We start from the raw sequence: 21,397 nt of genomic DNA on the forward strand, positions 1-21,397 counted from the left end.
AAGAGAAGTGGAAGTAGAAATTAGCATTTTTATCACTTTTCACAGATAAGGAAATATGTCAGAAAGCAGTGGAATAATTGTAAGAAGCTCATCTCTCTCTTTTTTTTTTTTTTTTTTGAGACACAGTCGCTCTCTTGCACAGGCTGGAGTGCAATGGCGCGATCTCAGCTCACTGCAACCTCCGTCTCCCCAGTTCGAGCAATTCTCCTGCCCAAGTCTCCCCAGTAACTGGGAGTACAAGCGCATGCCACCATGCCTGGCTAATTTTTCTACTTTTAGTAGAGACGGGGCTTCACCATGTTGGCCAGGCTGGTCTTGAACTCCTGATCTCAGATGATCCACCTGCCTCGGCCTCCCAAAGTGCGGGATTACAGGCGTGAGCCACCGTGCTGGGCCAGAAGCTCATCTCTTTTTTATTTTTATTTATTTATTTATTTTTTGAGACAGAGTCTGGCTTTGTTGCCCAGGCTGGAATGCAGTGGCGCGATCTCGGCTCACTGCAAGCTCCGCCTCCTGGGTCCACACCATTCTCCTGCCTCAGCCTCCCAAGTAGCTGGGACTACAGGCACCCACCACCACACCCGGCTTTTTTTTTTTTTTTGTATTTTTAGTAGAGGCGGGGTTTCACTGTGTTAGCCAGGATGGTCTCGATCTCCTGACCTCGTGATCCGCCAGCCTTGGCCTCCCAAAGTGCTGGGATTAGAGGCGTGAGCCACCACGCCCGGCCTAGCTCATCTTTTATACTTAGGATCTCAGGGTCTCCCAAGAGTTGAATGGTTTGCTCAGTCTGTGCTGAGTTTCTAGGTAAGAATGATCTGTGACTCTGGTTTTTTTTGTTGCTGTTGTTTGTTTGTTTTGAAAAAATTTATTTATTTATGGCTGGGTGCGGTGGCTCATGCCTGTAATCCCAGCACTTTGGGAGGCCAAGGTGGGTGGATCACGAGGTCAGGAGTTCAAGACCAGCCTGGCCAAGATGGTGAAACCCCGTCTCTACTAAAAATACAAAAATTAGCCGGGCTTGGTGGCCGGTGCCTGTAATCCCGGCTAATCGTGAGGTTGAAGCAGGGAATTGCTTGAACCTGGGAGGCGGAGGTTGCAGTGAGGTGAGATCGAGCCACTGCATTCCAGCCTGGGCGACAGAATGAGACTCTGTCTCAAAAAAAAAAGAAAAAGAAAAAATTTATTTACATAAGTTCATGGGGTATAAGTGTAATTTCAGTACATGCATAGACTTTGTAATGGTCAGGATTTTCGGGGTATTCACCACCCAAATAACATATATTGTACCCATTAAGTAATTTCTTTTTATTTTTCCCTAGGGTATAGATCCTGAACATTAAGTAATTTCTCATCCTTTACCCAACTGCCATGATCTGTGACTCTATTAACCCTCCATCGGCCTCCTACACATACATACCCCATAACTGGCTCCTATTCTCAGAATTCAATACTCTGCCCTGGGCAAAACTGTCCCTATGCCAAACACATATTTGCTTGCAAAAACATCACCCAAATGCTATCACAAATCCTCTGTTAGGCTGGGCTCTTTCCCAAATTGGCTCATTCTCATCTGCAGATCAGAATCTGAACCACCAGAGGCTACATGTCTTTCTTATAGAAGCTTGCAACAAAGGGCAGAGGGGTTGGGAATCATGACATAACAAAATAATTTGGGGCCAGGCACAGTGGCTCACACCTGTAATCCCAGCACTTTAGGAGGCTGAGGCAAGCAGACCACTTGAGTTCAGGAGTTTGAGACTAGCCTGGGTAACATAGTGAAACCTTGTCTCTACAAAAAATACAAAAATTAGCTGGGCATGGTGGCATACACCTGTGGTCCCAGCTACTCCGGAGGCTGAGGTGGGAGGATTGCTTGAGCCCACAGGTGGAGGTTGCAGTGAGCCGAGATTGTGTCATTGCCCTCCAGCCTGGACAACAGAGAGAGACCCTGTCTCAAAAACAAACAAACAAACACCCCCCCCGCAACAAAAAAATACCCAGTTTGGTTAGTTTGTGTTTATTTGATAGGTTTTCTTTAACCATGTGAGATGAGCTAAAGTAATTATTTCCATGGTATCTATTCCTTGAGTCTTGGGCATTCAAATATATGTGATGTACCATATAACTCCAGCTCTGTCCATCTGTAAACACAATGGCCAAGTCAGGTTTTCCAGGTAACTAGGCTGTACTCTTCTGCTGATTTGTAAATTTTAAGGCAGTTGGGCGTCTGGCTCCACTTAGTGCTGAAATGTCATAGTGCAGCCCGGTTACTGTTCTACAACCATAGAAATTAAGGAAAGGGTGAACCATAGGTCACTTTTTAAAAAATTATTTTTAGTGATAGGATCTCACTCTATTGCCCAGGCTGGAGTGCAGTGGCAGCCCTGAACTCCTGGGCTTAAGTGATCCTCCCGTCTTAGCTTCCCAAGTAGATAGGACTACAGGCGCGTGTCACCACACCCAGCTAAGTTTTGTATTTTTTGTAGAGATGGAATCTCACTATGTTACCCAGGCTGATCTTGAACTCTTGGCCTCAAGAGATCCTCTCGCCTCAGTCTCCCAAAGTGCTGGAATTATAGGCATGAACCACTACACCCAGCCTACAGGTCACTTTTCTGACTAAGACAGATATGTGACAATTACAGACAATCTGAGAAGTTGAAGATCAAATCCTATAGTGTTTGTGGTGAAAATAATAAAAACTAGGGGCAAAGCCTATGAGAACAGAACTGAGTTGAGAGAGAGGAGAATCTCTGGCCCTCTCTGATAAATCAGTTTGAGTTCCTGGTCTGTATTCTTTGCTTTCTAGATAGTATTACAGATCCTTTTAAAATAAACTGTCCTAATGCCACTGCAAGACTGTATGGAGGAGGGAAGAGGGCCCAGAGAGAGGCTAGAATCAGAAGTTGGAGGTATCATTGTGTTAGCCCAAATTTTGGGTTTACTATACACAAAAAATTTGATGATAAATTATTGGGCTAGTTTAAATTTGCTAAACCGTAGAAGGGGCCCTGTCTGTCATTAATAAACATTTTTTAAAGTACTAATGATATACTATGTTGAATTTCTTTCAAACATTGCACCGTAAAACACATTTGGTCTCCATTGCTGCTCTCTATCCATCAAGAATTGGGTCAAGTCAAACACTAAAATTTGAGTGCACAATGAGACATCAGACTCTCAAAAAGAGAGAGACAGAAATAAGGAAACAGGCCATTCAAAAAAGAGGAAAACCACTTCTCTGTTGATCTTGGTTTTCAATTCACTCTGTCCTTTCCTGGCTCCCACATAAATATCTCTGTAGTCACAATTTTTTTTTTTTTGAGATGGAGTCTCATTCTGTCACCCAGGCTGTAGTGCCGTGGCACAATCTTATCTCACTGTAACCTCCACCTCATGGGTTCAAGCAATTCTCTGCCTCAGCCTCCTAAGTAGCTGGGAGTACAGGCGCCCGCCACCATGCCCAGCTAATTTTTTTGTGTTTTCAGTAGAGACGGGGTTTCACCATCTTGGCCAGGTTGGTATTGAACTCCTGACCTCGTGATCCACCCGCCTCGGCCTCCCAAAGTGCTGGGATTACAGGCGTGAGCCACCACGCCCAGCCTTGTATTCACATTATTTATTTATTTTTTATTTTTTTATTTTTTGAGATGGAGTCTCGCTCCATGGCCCAGGCTGGAGTGCAGTGGCGCGATCTTGGCTTACTGCAAGCTCCACCTCCCAGGTTCACGCCATTCTCCTGCCTCAGCCTCCCGAGTAGCTGGGACTACAGGCGCCTGCCACCACGCCTGGCAAATTTTTTGTATTTTTAGTAGAGACGGAGTTTCACTGTGTTAGCCAGGATGGTCTCGATCTCCTAACCTCATGATCCACCCACCTCGGCCTCCCAAACATTATTATACTCACTTAAATTTTAGATTCCAGTTTGATCTGAGGAAGTCTTTTTTTTTTTTCTTTTTTTGGAGACGGAGTCTCGTTCTGTCGCCCAGGCTGGAGTGCAGTGGCAGGATCTTGGTTCACTGCATCCTCCGCCTCCCGGGTTCAAGGGATTCTCCTGCCTCAGCCTCCCGAGTAGCTGGGACTACAGGTGGGTGCCACCAAGCCCGGCTAATTTTTTTGTGTGTATTTTTAGCAGAGACAGGGTTTCACTGTGACTCCATCTCCTGACCTCGTGATCCACCTGCCTCGACCTCCTAAAGTGCTGGGATTACAGGTGTGAGCCACTGCACCTGGCCGAGAAAATAATTTTTTTTTTTTTGAGATAGGATCTTACTCTGTTGCCCAGGCTGGAGTTTAGTAGTGTGGTCTCGGCTTACCGCAACTTCCGCCTCTGGGCTCAAGTAATCCTCCCACCTCAGCCTCCCAAGTAACTGGGACTATAGGTGCACAGCACCATGCCTGGCTAATTTTTGTATTTTTTGTAGAGACAGGGTTTTGCCTTGTTGCCCAGGCTAGTCTCGAACTCCTCGGGCTCAAGCGATCCTCTAGCTTCTGCTTCCTAAAGTGTTGGGATCACAGGCGTGAGCCACTGCGCCCAGCCTGAGAAAGTCATTTTAAAACTATTTTTTTCTTTAGCTCCAGGTTCCATAAATGATAGTGTAGGTATCATTCTCCTCAAGAGCAGATACTAAATCTGTTACTTCCCAGGTAGAGCTTGCAGCATGTATTCTTCGTATGTAATGGGTACTCCATGAATCTCCTGACTGATGAACAGGAGGATGACACCGAGCAAATCAGCAGACTCTTCAACATGAATTGCTTCTACATAATAGTTTGTGTTGATTTAGGAACCATTATATGGCTTTGGAGAAAAAAAAAAATTGATCCTGGCTTATTTTTATTTTAATAGAGACAAAACTTTCATTTTATGTCTGAAAGAGAGAGGTCACGCTTATTACCAGTATAATCTTTGGGTTTTCTGAATGAATGGAGTCATAGAAATGAGGCTGCATCTGAGTAAATACATTAATCTGGTTCCAGGCTTAGTGTTTTGGCTAGTACAATTTCAATTGTTCATTGTTATTCCTTAAATAGGCCTCTCTGTGTAATCACAAAAACAATTTCTTAACAACCATTATCAAATAATTAAAGGGATAGGATACAGCGCCGTTGTGCTATGATACAAAGATAACACTATTATATTTATATAAAACTTTATAGTTAACAAAGTACTTTTCCATCTTATGACACCTTAATCATCTAATCTTTGTGAGTCCATGATACAGATATTATTACTATTACCACCCATTTTATAGATGAGTAAACTGAGACTTAGAGAGGTCAGGTAACTTGTGCCAAAAAAAAAAAAAAAAAAACAAGCCCTGTCCACCTAAGTCCCATCCTTTCCCCCTTGTTGGTATATTTGTCATGCCTTGATCCTTCAGTGTAATTTGGGACAATTATAATGTTTGGATGATAAGAATAAGGAAAAAAAAGTTAAAATGTCAACTGAGGAAGAAAATTAAATAAAAATATAATTTTAATTAATTTAAAGAATTTAATTAATAAACAGCTTCCTAGATGACAGTGTCTACGTAGATTTATAAAAATGATCTAAAAAGAAAAGAAAGGGATGTAAGTGTATCGAAGGGACACAGAAGCTAACCTGAACAAGCTCCCAATAGCAAAAGCTGGAATAATTTGATCAACAAAACCATATAATGGGCTCGGCATGGTGGCAGCTCACGCCTATAATCCCAGCACTTTGGGAGGTCGAGGTGGGCAAATCACTTGAGGCCAGGAGTTTGAGACCAGCCTGGCCAACATGGAGAAACCTCATCTCTACTAGAAAAAAAAAATACAAAAATTAGCCAGGCATGGTGGCACATGCCTGTAATTCCAGCTACTCGGGAGGCTGAGATGTGAGAATCACTTGAACCCAGGAAGCAGAGGTTGCAGTAAGCCGAGATTGCACCACTGCACTCCAGCCTGGGCAACACAGCTAGACTCTTCTTAAAATGATAGATAGATAGATAGATAGATAGATAGATAGATAGATAGATGATAGATAGATAGGTAGATAGATAGATAGTATTATAAGCCAAAGAATATAATAAATATCTATGAGTCCACACAGATATAAATGAAGGACTAAATAAATAAATAGGAGAAAAGGAACAATTGTTCCTTGCAGAAGAATTCCAGTTAACAGTGTAGAAAAAATGAGGGAAACAGAAAATTACAGTTAGAAAACCACAATAGTGGCTGGGTGCGGTGGCTCATGCCTGTAATCCCAGCATTTTGGGAGGCCAAGGCCGGTGGGTCACCTGAGGTCAGGAGTTCGACACCAGCCTGGCCAACATGGTGAAGCCCATCTCTACTAAAAATACAAAAATTAGCCAGGCATCGTGGTGGCTGCCTGTAATCCCAGCTACTCGTGAGGCTGAGACAGGAGAATTGCTTGAACCCAGGAGGCAGAGGTTGCAGTGAGCTGAGGTTGCACCACTGTACTCCAGCCTGGGCAACATGAGCGAAACTCCATCTCAAAAAACAAAAACAAAAACAAAAAACCAGAAAACCACAATAGTAATTGCTACAGGCAAGATCAATTGAATGTTAAAATGAGTGGATGTAGTGAAATCTAAATAGAGTACAGAGTTTATAGTTTAATGTATCAATGTTGGTTTAATAGTTGTGACAAATGTACAGGGAAGATATTAACAATAGGGGAAAATGGCTACTATGTACTATTTTTGCAACTTTTCTGTAAATCTAAAACCATTCTAAAATGAAAAGTTTATTTAGGCCAGCCCAACTTTTCTCTAAATCTAAAACTATTCTCAAACAAAAAGTTTAATTAGGGTGGGTGTGGTGGCTTATACCTGTAATCCCAGTTCTGTGGGAGGCCGAGGCAGGAGAATCACTTGAGCCCAGGAGTTCAAGACCAGATTGGGTAACATAGCAAGACCCTGTCTCTAACAGAAAGAAAAGAAAAGCAATGAAAAAAGAAAAGAAAAGATCATTTAAAAGCTGGACACAGTGGCTCACACCTGTAATCCCAGCACTTTGGGAGGCTGAGGCGGGCGGATCACGAGGTCAAGAAATCGAGACCATCCTGGCCAACATGGTGAAACCCTGTCTCTACAAAAAATACAAAAATTAGCTGGGCGTTGTGGCATACGCCTGTAGTCCCAGCTACTTGGGAGGCTGAGGCAGGAGAACCGCTTGAACCTGGGAGGCGGAGGTTGCAGTGAGCCGAGATTGCACCACTGCACTTCAGCCTGGGTGACAGAGCAAGACTCCATCTCAAAAAAAAAAAGAAAGAAAAAGAAAAGTTGGTTTAAAAAATAAAAAACTAATGGGTAAAGTGTTAAGGAGAAACCAGATATTTGCATAGCCCCAAAATATCTTCTGAAAAATATTTGTTAGTTACAAAGAAAAAATAGTAACCTTACAGTGGAGAAACCTGGCAGATACCACCTTAGCCAAACGATCGAAGTTAATAACACCAGTAATTAGACATGTCAACAGCATGTACTCCTAATAGGATGCATTGAGAAGGGCATGTTCCCTCTGTGATATTTTTTCTCCCAAATTTATAAACTTAATCTAATAATGAGAAAACATCCAGACCAACCCAAATTGAGGAAAATTCTAGCAAATTCCTGATTGGTACTATTCAAAAGTGTCAAGGTAGTTAAAGACAAGGAAAGAATGAAGAACCATCAGAAATTGAAGGAAACTAGGGAGATGTGACAACCAAACGCAATGTGGGATCCTAGATCAGATCCTGGAACAGAAAAAGAGCGTTAGTGAAAATTGGTGATATTCAAATAAAGTCTATTTTGTAGTTAATAGTATTGTACCAATGATAATTTCCTAGTTTTGATAAATGTACTATGGTTCGGTAAGATGTTAACATGTGAAATAAAGGGTATATGGGAACAGTTTATTCTATCTTTGCAACTCTTCTGTAAGCCTAAAATTATTTCAGAAATTTAAAAAATTCGGCCAGATGCGGTGGCTCATGCCTGTAATCCCAGCACTTTGGGAGGCTGAGGCGGGTGGATCACCTGAGGTCAGGAGTTCGAGACCAGTCTTGCCAACATGGCGAAACCCCGTCTCTACTAAAAATACAAAAAATTAGCTGGGCATGATAGTGGGCACCTGTAATCCCAGCTACTTGGGAGGCTGAGAAGGAGAATTGCTTGAACCCAGGAGGCGGAGGTTGCAGTGAGCTGAGATCGCGCCATTGTACTCCAGTCTGGGTGACAGAGCGACACCCTGTCAAAAAAAAAATTCATAACAAATTTAAATTGTATATAAATGATACACAAATTAAGTCTGCTTCCTATGGCTGACCTGTGCCTTCTGGAAAGTCCTATTAGGTTTTAATACTTTGTGTAGTAAAACTGAAATATGGTCCCTATGTATTAAATCATCTCTTTGGAAAGATAAATACCAGTAGACTGTAAGCTCCTTGAGGCAGAATCCACGTTTTTAAAAACAGATACGGGAGCTTGTGCTATTGCTCAGGCTGGTCTTGAACTCCCGGCCTCAAGTGATTCTCCCATCTCAGCCTTCTGAGTAGCTGGGATTATAGGCAGGAGCCATCATGCCCAGCAGAATCCATATCTTATTCATCTTTGTGTCCTTGATGCATGGACATAATAACTTAATAAATGCCTATTAAACTGAACTATGATGTGTAGATGTATATTATATATATACATATTCACACAGATATATACATAATGCATCTATAGAAAGGATGGGGGAAGCAAAAGATTACAACCATAAAGGCATAAGTGTTACTAAAATTGAAGAGCAAAATACAAAAAATGAAACATCACATGAATTAAATGAGCATGTTCTATGAACTCAGATGCTGTAAATCCTTGAGTCTTTTCCTCCCTGATAAGCTTTTGGGCCATTTGACAGAGCACTTTGCCTTTGCCACCTGGTGACAGGATTGCAGAAACAGTGAATAGGCTGACAGACTATTCACTCTTGCCCTGTGGGTCACCTTCCACAAAGTGCTCAATCAGAGTTCCCCCCGTATCCATAAAAGAGCATCTCTTTGATGGCTCCTGTGAGCTGACAGCAGCTATGGAGTCACTGAAAAGGGAAATCGTGGCACAGAAAATAGCGGACTGCCTTTTTGCACACCCACTTTGTCTTCAAACCAGCATGAATAAGGGAATAGGGAGCAAATGAATACAAGAGAGAGCATTTTGCCCAAGTTTGCAGAGTGATGGATAGGAAAGTACAGATGGTAGATGGATCAGATTGGGAGCTGTTTTCATATTTTCTTTTTCTATATCCTTTTCTTTCTGTGTGTGTTTGAATATGTATGTGTGTGTGAGAGAGACAGAATGAGAAAGAAAGAGATACAGAGATACATAGAGAAGAATTCATTTCTGAATGTGTGTAAGAGGCCATATGCAGCCACCGTTACACACAGACACTTAGAGGTGTAGATAGAATTGGAGACAAAACTCCCTGCTTGCCAATTTTACTAAATAAACATGTTCATAGATTTCATAGCATTAATGAGCTGCAAAATAACCACATATTGAAGCTGCATGCAGCTGTCTGTACTATTTGAGGATATTTTAAGTGAATATTAAGCCAATAATATAAATTAAAGAGGCAAAGTTCTGAAAGAGGCTTAAATAAGAAGCCAGTTAGCATGAATAGAGAAAGAGCACACGGTTTGGATGACAGATGTTAGATTCATGGGTATTCATTATAACTTTATGATTTACATTATACGATATGCATTTTGTGAGTTAAAAAAATATATATTCTGGGCCAGGCTTGGTGGCTCACGCCTGTAATCCCAGCACTTTGGGAGGCCGAGGCATGTGGATCACCTGAGGTCAGGAGTTTGAGACCAGTCTGGCCAACATGGTGCAACCCTGTCTCTACTAAAAATACCAAAAATCAGCCAGGCGTGGTGGCGGGCGCCTGTAATCCCAGATACTCAGGAAGCTGAGACAGGAGAATCACTTGAACCCAGGAGACGGAGGTTGCAGTGAGCCAAGATCATGCCATGCACTCCAGCCTGGGCCACAAGAGCCAAACTCCGTCTCAAAAAATATATATATACACATAAATATATATATACACACACACATATATATATATATACACACACACACACACATATATATACACACATATGCATATATATATGTGTGTGTATTTATATATATATATTCTGGGGGGATGGTAAGAAGATAATAAGAAAAACATTTTAAATTGGTTTCTAGGTGAGCACAAATGTTTAAAGTTAAAAAGATGAAGATGGCCGAATAGGAACAGCTCCGGTCTACAGCTCCCATCGTGAGCGACGCAGAAGATGGGTGATTTCTGCATTTCCATCTGAGGTACCGGGTTCATCTCACTAGGGAGTGCCAGACAGTGGGCGCAGGCCAGCGTGTGCGCGCACCGTGCGCGAGCCGAAGCAGGGCGAGGCATTGCCTCACCTGGGAAGCGCAAGGGGTCAGGGAGTTCCCTTTCCGAGTCAAAGAAAGGGGTGATGGACGCACCTGGAAAATCGGGTCACTCCCACCCGAATATTGCGCTTTTCAGACCGGCTTAAAAAACGGCGCACCACGAGACTATATCCCACACCTGGCTCAGAGGGTCCTACACCCACGGAATCTCGCTGATTGCTAGCACAGCAGTCTGAGATCAAACTGCAAGGCGGCAACGAGGCTGGGGGAGGGGCGCCCGCCATTGCCCAGGCTTGCTTAGGTAAACAAAGCAGCTGGGAAGCTCGAACTGGGTGGAGCCCACCACAGCTCAAGGAGGCCTGCCTGCCTCTGTAGGCTCCACCTCTGGGGGCAGGGCACAGACAAACAAAAAGACAGCAGTAACCTCCGCAGACTTAAGTGTCTCTGTCTGACATCTTTGAAGAGAGCAGTGGTTCTCCCAGCACGCAGCTGGAGATCTGAGAACGGGCAGACTGCCTCCTCAAGTGGGTCCCTGACCCCTGACCCCCGAGCAGCCTAACTGGGAGGCACCCCCCAGCAGGGGCACACTGACACCTCACACGGCAGGGTATTCCAACAGACCTGCAGCTGAGGGTCCTGTCTGTTAGAAGGAAAACTAACAACCAGAAAGGACATCTACACCGAAAACCCATCTGTACATCACCATCATCAAAGACCAAAAGTAGATAAAACCACAAAGATGGGGAAAAAACAGAACAGAAAAACTGGAAACTCTAAAACGCAGAGCGCCTCTCCTCCTCCAAAGGAACACAGTTCCTCACCAGCAACGGAACAAAGCTGGATGGAGAATGATTTTGACAAGCTGAGAGAAGAAGGCTTCAGACGATCAAATTACTCTGAGCTAGGGGAGGACATTCAAACCAAAGGCAAAGAAGTTGAAAACTTTGAAAAAAATTTAGAAGAATGTATAACTAGAATAACCAATACAGAGAAGTGCTTAAAGGAGCTGATGGAGCTGAAAACCAAGGCTCGAGAACTACGTGAAGAATGCAGAAGCCTCAGGAGCCGATGCGATCAACTGGAAGAAAGGGTATCAGCAATGGAAGATGAGAATGAAATGAAGCAAGAAGGGAAGTTTAGAGAAAAAAGAATAAAAAGAAATGAGCAAAGCCTCCAAGAAATATGGGACTATGTGAAAAGACCAAATCTACGTCTGATTGGTGTACCTGAAAGTGATGTGGAGAATGGAACCAAGTTGGAAAACACTCTGCAGGATATTATCCAGGAGAACTTCCCCAATCTAGCAAGGCAGGCCAACATTCAGATTCAGGAAATACAGAGAACGCCACAAAGATACTCCTCGAGAAGAGCAACTCCAAGACACATAATTGTCAGATTCACCAAAGTTGAAATGAAGGAAAAAATGTTAAGGGCAGCCAGAGAGAAAGGTCGGGTTACCCTCAAAGGAAAGCCCATCAGACTAACAGCGGATCTCTCGGCAGAAACCCTACAAGCCAGAAGAGAGTGGGGGCCAATATTCAACATTCTTAAAGAAAAGAATTTTCAACCCAGAATTTCATATCCAGCCAAACTAAGCTTCATAAGTGAAGGAGAAATAAAATACTTTATAGACAAGCAAATGCTGAGAGATTTTGTCACCACCAGGCCTGCCCTAAAAGAGCTCCTGAAGGAAGCGCTAAACATGGAAAGGAACAACCAGTACCAGCCGCTGCAAAATCATGCCAAAATGTAAAGACCATCGAGACTAGGAAGAAACTGCATCAACTAACGAGCAAAATCACCAGCTAACATCATAATGACAGGATCAAATTCACACATAACAATATTAACTTTAAATATAAATGGACTAAATTCTGCAATTAAAAGACACAGACTGGCAAGTTGGATAAAGAGTCAAGACCCATCAGTGTGCTGTATTCAGGAAACCCACCTCACGTGCAGAGACACACATAGGCTCAAAATAAAAGGATGGAGGAAGATCTACCAAGCCAATGGAAAACAAAAAAAGGCAGGGGTTGCAATCCTAGTCTCTGATAAAACAGACTTTAAACCAACAAAGATCAAAAGAGACAAAGAAGGCCATTACATAATGGTAAAGGGATCAATTCAACAAGAGGAGCTAACTATCCTAAATATTTATGCACCCAATACAGGAGCACCCAGATTCATAAAGCAAGTCCTGAGTGACCTACAAAGAGACTTAGACTCTCACACATTAATAATGGGAGACTTTAACACCCCACTGTCAACATTAGACAGATCAACGAGACAGAAAGTCAACAAGGATACCCAGGAATTGAACTCAGCTCTGCACCAAGTGGACCTAATAGACATCTACAGAACTCTCCACCCCAAATCAACAGAATATACATTTTTTTCAGCACCACACCACACCTATTCCAAAATTGACCACATACTTGGAAGTAAAGCTCTCCTCAGCAAATGTAAAAGAACAGAAATTATAACAAACTATCTCTCAGACCACAGTGCAATCAAACTAGAACTCAGGATTAAGAATCTCACTCAAAGCCTCTCAACTACATGGAAACTGAACAACCTGCTCCTGAATGACTACTGGGTACATAACGAAATGAAGGCAGAAATAAAGATGTTCTTTGAAACCAACGAGAACAAAGACACCACATACCAGAATCTCTGGGACGCATTCAAAGCAGTGTGTAGAGGGAAATTTATAGCACTAAATGCCTACAAGAGAAAGCAGGAAAGATCCAAAATTGACACCCTAACATCACAATTAAAAGAACTAGAAAAGCCAGAGCAAACACATTCAAAAGCTAGCAGAAGGCAAAAAATAACTAAAATCAGAGCAGAACTGAAGGAAATAGAGACACAAAAAACCCTTCAAAAAATCAATGAATCCAGGAGCTGGTTTTTTGAAAGGATCAACAAAATTGATAGACCGCTAGCAAGACTAATAAAGAAAAAAAGAGAGAAGAATCAAATAGACACAATAAAAAATGATAAAGGGGATATCACCACCGATCCCACAGAAATACAAACTACCATCAGAGAATACTACAAACACCTCTACGCAAATAAACTAGAAAATCTAGAAGAAATGGATACATTCCTCGACACATACACTCTCCCAAGACTAAACCAGGAAGAAGTTGAATCTCTGAATAGACCAATAACAGGCTCTGAAATTGTGGCAATAATCAATAGTTTACCAACCAAAAAGAGTCCAGGACCAGATGGATTCACAGCCGAATTCTACCAGAGGTACAAGGAGGAACTGGTACCATTCCTTCTGAAACTATTCCAATCAATAGAAAAAGAGGGAATCCTCCCTAACTCATTTTATGAGGCCAGCATCATTCTGATACCAAAGCCGGGCAGAGACACAACCAAAAAAGAGAATTTTAGACCAATATCCTTGATGAACATTGATGCAAAAATCCTCAATAAAATACTGGCAAACCGAATCCAGCAGCACATCAAAAAGCTTATCCACCATGATCAAGTGGGCTTCATCCCTGGGATGCAAGGCTGGTTCAATATATGCAAATCAATAAATGTAATCCAGCATATAAACAGAGCCAAAGACAAAAACCACATGATTATCTCAATAGATGCAGAAAAAGCCTTTGACAAAATTCAACAACCCTTCATGCTAAAAACTCTCAATAAATTAGGTATTGATGGGATGTATTTCAAAATAATAAGAGCTATCTATGACAAACCCACAGCCAATATCATACTGAATGGGCAAAAACTGGAAGCATTCCCTTTGAAAACTGGCATAAGACAGGGATGCCCTCTCTCACCGCTCCTATTCAACATAGTGTTGGAAGTTCTGGCCAGGGCAATCAGGCAGGAGAAGGAAATAAAGGGTATTCAATTAGGAAAAGAGGAAGTCAAATTGTCCCTGTTTGCAGACGACATGATTGTTTATCTAGAAAACCCCATCGTCTCAGCCCAAAATCTCCTTAAGCTGATAAGCAACTTCAGCAAAGTCTCAGGATACAAAATCAATGTACAAAAATCACAAGCATTCTTATACACCAACAACAGACAAACAGAGAGCCAAATCATGAGTGAACTCCCATTCACAATTGCTTCAAAGAGAATAAAATACCTAGGAATCCAACTTACAAGGGATGTGAAGGACCTCTTCAAGGAGAACTACAAACCACTGCTCAAGGAAATAAAAGAGGACACAAACAAATGGAAGAACATTCCATGCTCATGGGTAGGAAGAATCAATATCGTGAAAATGGCCATACTGCCCAAGGTAATTTACAGATTCAATGCCATCCCCATCAAGCTACCAATGACTTTCTTCACAGAATTGGAAAAAACTACTTTAAAGTTCATATGGAACCAAAAAAGAGCCCGCATCGCCAAGTCAATCCTAAGCCAAAAGAACAAAGCTGGAGGCATCACACTACCTGACTTCAAACTATACTACAAGGCTACAGTAACCAAAACAGCATGGTACTGATACCAAAACAGAGATAGAGATCAATGGAACAGAACAGAGCCCTCAGAAATAATGCCGCATATCTACAACTATCTGATCTTTGACAAACCTGAGAAAAACAAGCAATGGGGAAAGGATTCCCTATTTAATAAATGGTGCTGGGAAAACTGGCTAGCCATATGTAGAGAGCTGAAACTGGATCCCTTCCTTACACCTTATACAAAAATCAATTCAAGATGGATTAAAGACTTAAACGTTAGACCTAAAACCATAAAAACCCTAGAAGAAAACCTAGGCATTACCATTCAGGACATAGGCACGGGCAAGGACTTCATGTCCAAAACACCAAAAGCAATGGCAACAAAAGCCAAAATTGACAAATGGGATCTAATTAAACTAAAGAGCTTCTGCACAGCAAAAGAAACTACCATCAGAGTGAACAGGCAACCTACAACATGGGAGAAAATTTTCGCAACCTACTCATCTGACAAAGGGCTAATATCCAGAATCTACAATGAACTCAAACAAATTTACAAGAAAAAAACAAACAACCCCATCAAAAAGTGGGCGAAGGACATGAACAGATACTTCTCAAAAGAAGACATTTATGCAGCCAAAAAACACATGAAAAAATGCTCATCATCACTGGCCATCAGAGAAATGCAAATCAAAACCACTATGAGATATCATCTCACACCAGTTAGAATGGCAATCATTAAAAAGTCAGGAAACAACAGGTGCTGGAGAGGATGTGGAGAAATAGGAACACTTTTACACTGTTGGTGGGACTGTAAACTAGTTCAACTATTGTGGAAGTCAGTGTGGCGATTCCTCAGGGATCTAGAACTAGAAATACCATTTGACCCAGCCATCCCATTACTGGGTATATACCCAAATGACTATAAATCATGCTGCTATAAAGACACATGCACACGTATGCTTATTGCGGCATTATTCACAATAGCAAAGACTTGGAACCAACCCAAATGTCCAACAATGATAGACTGGATTAAGAAAATGTGGCACATATACACCATGGAATACTATGCAGCCATAAAAAATGATGAGTTCATGTCCTTTGTAGGGACATGGATGAAATTGGAAACCATCATTCTCAGTAAACTATCGCAAGAACAAAAAACCAAACACCGCATATTCTCACTCATAGGTGGGAATTGAACAATGAGATCACATGGACACAGGAAGGGGAATATCACACTCTGGGGACTGTGGTGGGGTCGGGGGAGGGGGGAGGGATAGCATTGGGAGATATACCTAATGCTAGATGACACGTTAGTGGGTGCAGCGCACCAGCATGGCACATGTATACATATGTAACTAACCTGCACAATGTGCACATGTACCCTAAAACTTAAAGTATAATAAAAAAAAAAACATTATTCCAAAAAAAAAAAAAAAATGCATTCATGTAAAGTTAAAAAGATGAGGCACAAGTTACAGTTATGATAAGTGGGTAATGATGCCCAGAGCTGACTGATACATTGTCTGCTGCATGTCATGTCATATCATGACATGTCTGATACATGTCATGATAGCTTTGACACATTTCTGAACTGGACTAAGAAATATTTATCATGATGCCAACAAACCCGTGCAGTGCTGAATTTTAACAATCCAGTCACAAGCCTGACTTTTTATTGCACTGAGCATTATAGAAACAAAACCTATACTCTGTATGATTTATAACTAATATTAAAGGAGGAGGAAGAGAAGAATAATGGTGAAATTTAAAATGTGCATCATAATTTATAAAACATTTATAAAGAATGTATTCATATACATAATTTTTACCCCAATCTCTCCCAGTTTAGATAATATGTATCTAATGTACCCCAATCTCTCCCAGTTTAGATAATATGAATTTCTGAAAATTAGGCTCTTATTATCAAAAACTTCTAGCATCTCAGACCTGCCATTGCTCCCAGTCAACTGAGAAGGGTGTAGGAAAACACGCTAGACAAGCCAAGAAAGAACAGATATAAGGACCACCATTATCAAGTTCCTTTTCTGTGCTAAGCACATTTACAAAGGTTCATTCCTCATAAAGTAATTATTTTTATCCCCATTTTACAAACTGATAAGCCTGAATTTAGGGAAGCTAATTAACTTGTGCTTATAAAAGTGACTGTCTCAATGGGAAGAAGATAGTCTCATATTTGCAATAACAAAGTTATTTTTCTTCCCTAATTTCAGTAATAAAGATGTTTCTGTTATTGTGGCCTAAAAATTGATCAAAATAGATAAAAACAAGCCTGTACCATTCTCATGTCCCACAGTAACAGAGAATGGTAGGAGTAAATTCAACCTCAAGTCTGATAGCACGGCCCATGTTTTTCCCACTATATCATGTCCTTTCAAAGTGCTATTGTCATTAAAGTTCTAAATAACTATAGTCCCACAGAAATTTAGCTGCTGAAAGTCAGCACTAGGAGAGAAAAATGAAAGTTCCACTTGACATGTTAATTCTAAAAATTATACAGAAATGCAAATAGCCAAGACCCAAACTGAAGAAGAACTGGAATGGAGCACTTGTTCTCTTGGATATAAAGACATGGTATAAAGCTATAGCAATTAAGACAGTGTGATGTCGGTACAAGGATAGACAAATAGAATGAAATGGCTCATATATTGATCAACATTTGATTCTTAACAAAGATGGTGCTGCAGAGCAGTGGAGAAAGAACAGTCTTTTCAATAAATGACACTATGATATTTGAAAAAGAATCTTGGGAAGAAAAAAAGAAACAACCTTTAACTCACATCATATATAAAAGACAATCCAATGTAGATTGTAGATCTAAATTTGAAAGGAAAAACATACAATTTCTAGAGGATAATACAGAATACCTTTATGATCTTGGTGTAGGGAAAGCATTCTAAAACAGGGAACATATTAAAAAGTTGATGAATTTGACTGTGTTATAATCAAGAATTTCTCTTCTTCAAAAGACTATATAGAGAATGAAAAGACAAGCTACAAAAAGGAGAGGAAATTTACGACATATACAACTGACCAAAGGCTTGTATCCAGAGTATACTGTATGAAGAACTACTGGAAATCAATAACAAAAAGATGAACAACTCAATTGAAAAACAGGCAAGAGACTTGAACAGGCATTTCAAAAGAGGATATCAAATAGCCAATAAACATATGAAAATTGCCCAATCTCATTAGTGATCAGGAAAATGTAAATTAAAACCACAATTGGGGCTGAGCATGGTGGCTCATGCCTGTAATCCCAGCACTGTGGGAGGCCGAGGCTGAAGGGTTGCTTCAGCCCAGGAGTTCAAGACCAGCCTGGGCAACAAGGTGAAAACCCATCTCTAAAAATAAATAAATAAATAAATAAATAAATAAAAATTAAAGGAAAATAAAAAGACCAGCCTGGGCAACATAGTCAGACTCTGTCTCTACGAAAAAAAATAAAAATTAGCCAGGTAGGGTGGCATGTACCTGCAGTGCCAGTTACTTGGGAGGCTGATGTGGGAGGCTCAATTCTGCCCAGGAGTTTGAAGCTGTAGTGAGCTGTGATCCTGCTACTGCACTCCAGCCTGGGCAACAGAGCAAGACTCTGTCTCTAAAAAAACAAAACAAAACAAACAAACAAAAACCCACAATTGGATAATACTGTATATCCCCCAGAAAAGCTAAAATTAAACAGACTACAATAATAACTGTTGGCAAGGGTGTGAAGCACTGGGAACTCTCATACACTGCTGGCAGGAGTGATACAACAACAGCTTGACTTTCTCTACTAAGGTGGAAGGTGCATACTCAGTGATCCAGCAATTCCAGCAATTCCACCCTCAGGTATCCAGTACAAAAGTCAACACATATATATCAAGAGACATATATATAAATGTTCATGGAGATGTTATTTGTAATCGTTCCAAACTGGAAATAACCTAAATATGGCATCGACAGTACAATGAATAAATATGAGGCCAGGCACAGTGGCTCATGCCTGTAATCCCAGCACTTTGGGAGGCCGAGGCGGGTGGTTCATGAGGTCAGGAGATGGTGACCATCCTGGCTAACACGGTGAAACCCTGTCTCTACTAAAAATACAAAAACTTAGCCAGGCGTGGTGGCAGGCGCCTGTAGTTCCAGCTACTCAGGAGGCTGAGGCAGGAGAATGGCTTGAACCCAGGAGGCGGAGCTTGCAGTGAGCCGAGATCACACCACTGCACTGGAGCCTGGGCCGACAGAGCGAGACCTCATCTGAAAAAAAAAAAAAAAAAAAAAAAAAAAGAACGAGTAAATACGTAGTGTGATGTGTTCATACAATGGAATGACATACAGCAATGGAAATGAGCAGGCTAAATCTATATGCAACATTATGGATGATTATGGATGAATTTTAGGTACAAATCTATTTACAACATTATGGATTCATTATAGGTGAATCTGAGATACAAAAGAACACATGCACAATTAGTGCCCTTGGACGGAGTTTCCTGATGGATCCCAGTCATCCGGAGTCAGTAGCAGCAGGGGAGCTCTTCACACGGCAATGTGTTGGGCGGGATGCTCCAGCAGGCGGCTCCTCTAGGGTAACTGCCTCTTGGATGAGCAGGTTTAGAGAACTAAGGAATTAGGGCTTCCTTTTTCTGGGGCAGGTAGAGAGGGAGAGAAAATGTGGCGGGGGGCAGGCATCTAAAAAATACTCACCTTAATCATTTTCAGCTCTGAATATTTCAAGGTTTTCTCTTCCTGTTCAGTGTTATTCCATTTGTAGTAAGTTTTAAAAACCAGGCCAGACTAACCTACAGTATTTAAGAGTATGTGTTTACAAAAGTCAAGATAATAGTTACCTTTGGGAGAACAAAGGGGATAGTGATTGAGAGAGGGTTGCTGGTAATGTTTTTATTGAGCTGAGTAATAGCTACATGGATGTTGCTTTGTGGATAATTTGTTGAGCTATACATTTTTGTATTGTGCTCTTTTCTGCCTTGCTGATTTCACAATAAAAAAGGTTTAAAAAAGATCATAATTTTAAAATTCCCATTCAATTTCACTGAAGAAAAAAAAGGTATTCAGTGCCTATGTGTTAGACATGGTAGTCTTTTTCTGAAGCCAAGGGAGAAATGAAATATGAAGATGAATGGTATGATTCCTGTCTTCAATAAGCTTACAATCTGAGAGATAAAGTATTACAAGGTAGAATTCAATAAGCAGCAAATAAAGGCACTGTTGTGTTATTTGCACAACTTGGGTTTAAAACATCACGTTATCAGCTGGGCGCAGTGGCTCATGCCTGTAATCCCAGCACTTTGGGAGGCTGAGGTGGGCGGATCACGAGGTCAGGAGTTCAAGACCAGCCTGGCCAAGATGGTGAAACCCCGTCTCTACTAAAACTACAAAAATTAGCCAGGTGCGGTAGCAGGTTCCTGTAATCCCAGCTACTAGGGAGGCTGAGGCAGGAGAATCACTTGAACTCGGGTGGCAGAGTTTGCAGTGAGCCAAGATCACACTACTGCACTCCAGCCTGGGCAAGACAGAGTGAGACTCTGTCTCAAAAAAAAAAAAAAAAAAAAACACACATTATTTAAAAATTGCATTTAAAAGTTGATGGTCTCAATGGGAAGAATTGAGATATAAGAAAAAATAATAAAGTTCTTTTTTTCAGTAATGGCAGCAATAAAGACGTTTTTGTTATTGTGGCTTAAAAATAACAGATTGGGGGCCAGGCACGGTGGCTCACGCCTATAATCCCAGCACTTTGGGAGGCTGAGGTGGGCGGATCACGAGGTCAGGAGATCGAGACTATCCTGGCTAACACGGTGAAATCCCATCTCTACTAAAAATACAAAATATTAGCCGGGCGTGGTAGCAAGCGCCTGTGGTCCCAGCTACTTGGGACGCTGAGGCAGGAGAGTGGCGTGAACCCAGGAGGCAGAGCTTGCAGTGAGCCGAGATCGCACCACTGCACCCCAGCCTGGGCGACAGAGCGAGACTCCGTCTCAAAAAATAATAATAAAAAAAATAACAGATTGGGGCCAGACACAGTGGGTCATGCCTGTAATCCCAGCACTTTGGGAGGCCGAGGAGGGTGGATCACAAGGTCAGGAGTTCAAGACCAGCCTTGCCAGATGATGAAACCCCATCTCTACTAAAAATATAAAAATTGGCTGGGCATGGTTGCACACACCTGTAATCCCAGCTACTCAGGAAGCTGAGGCAGCAGAATCGCTTGAATCCAGGAGGCGGAGGTTGCAGTCAGCCAAGATTGCACCACTGCACTCCAGTCTGGGAGACAGAGCGAGACTTCATCTCAAATAATAATGATAATAATAATAATAACAGATTGGTTGATCAAAATGAACAAAAACAAGCCTGAACCCTTCTCATGGCCCTTTAACTTCACACTCTGGAGCTTTCCCATTACTGTTATCATTTCTGGCCTTTAAGTTTTCCAAGCGCTTACATTCCAAAAAAATAACTTTTAAAATCTTATTAACATTGACTTTATTTTATTTTGAGATGGAGTCTTGCTCTCTCACCCAGGCT

The 21,397-nt window shown here is 41.5% G+C and overlaps 1 annotated feature.

Annotated features, from left to right (window-relative positions):
- Nucleotides 20,127–20,332: a silencer, noted in NCBI's record as "fragment chr15:44554114-44554319 (GRCh37/hg19 assembly coordinates)". NCBI's record gives its function as "represses an EF-1alpha promoter that drives an FKBP-Casp9 reporter gene in an ReSE screen in K562 erythroleukemia cells {active_cell/tissue: K562}" and the evidence as "EXISTENCE:reporter gene assay evidence [ECO:0000049][PMID:32094911]".

Source organism: Homo sapiens, chromosome 15 (assembly GCF_000001405.40).
Source record: "Homo sapiens chromosome 15, GRCh38.p14 Primary Assembly".
NCBI lineage: Eukaryota > Metazoa > Chordata > Mammalia > Primates > Hominidae > Homo > Homo sapiens.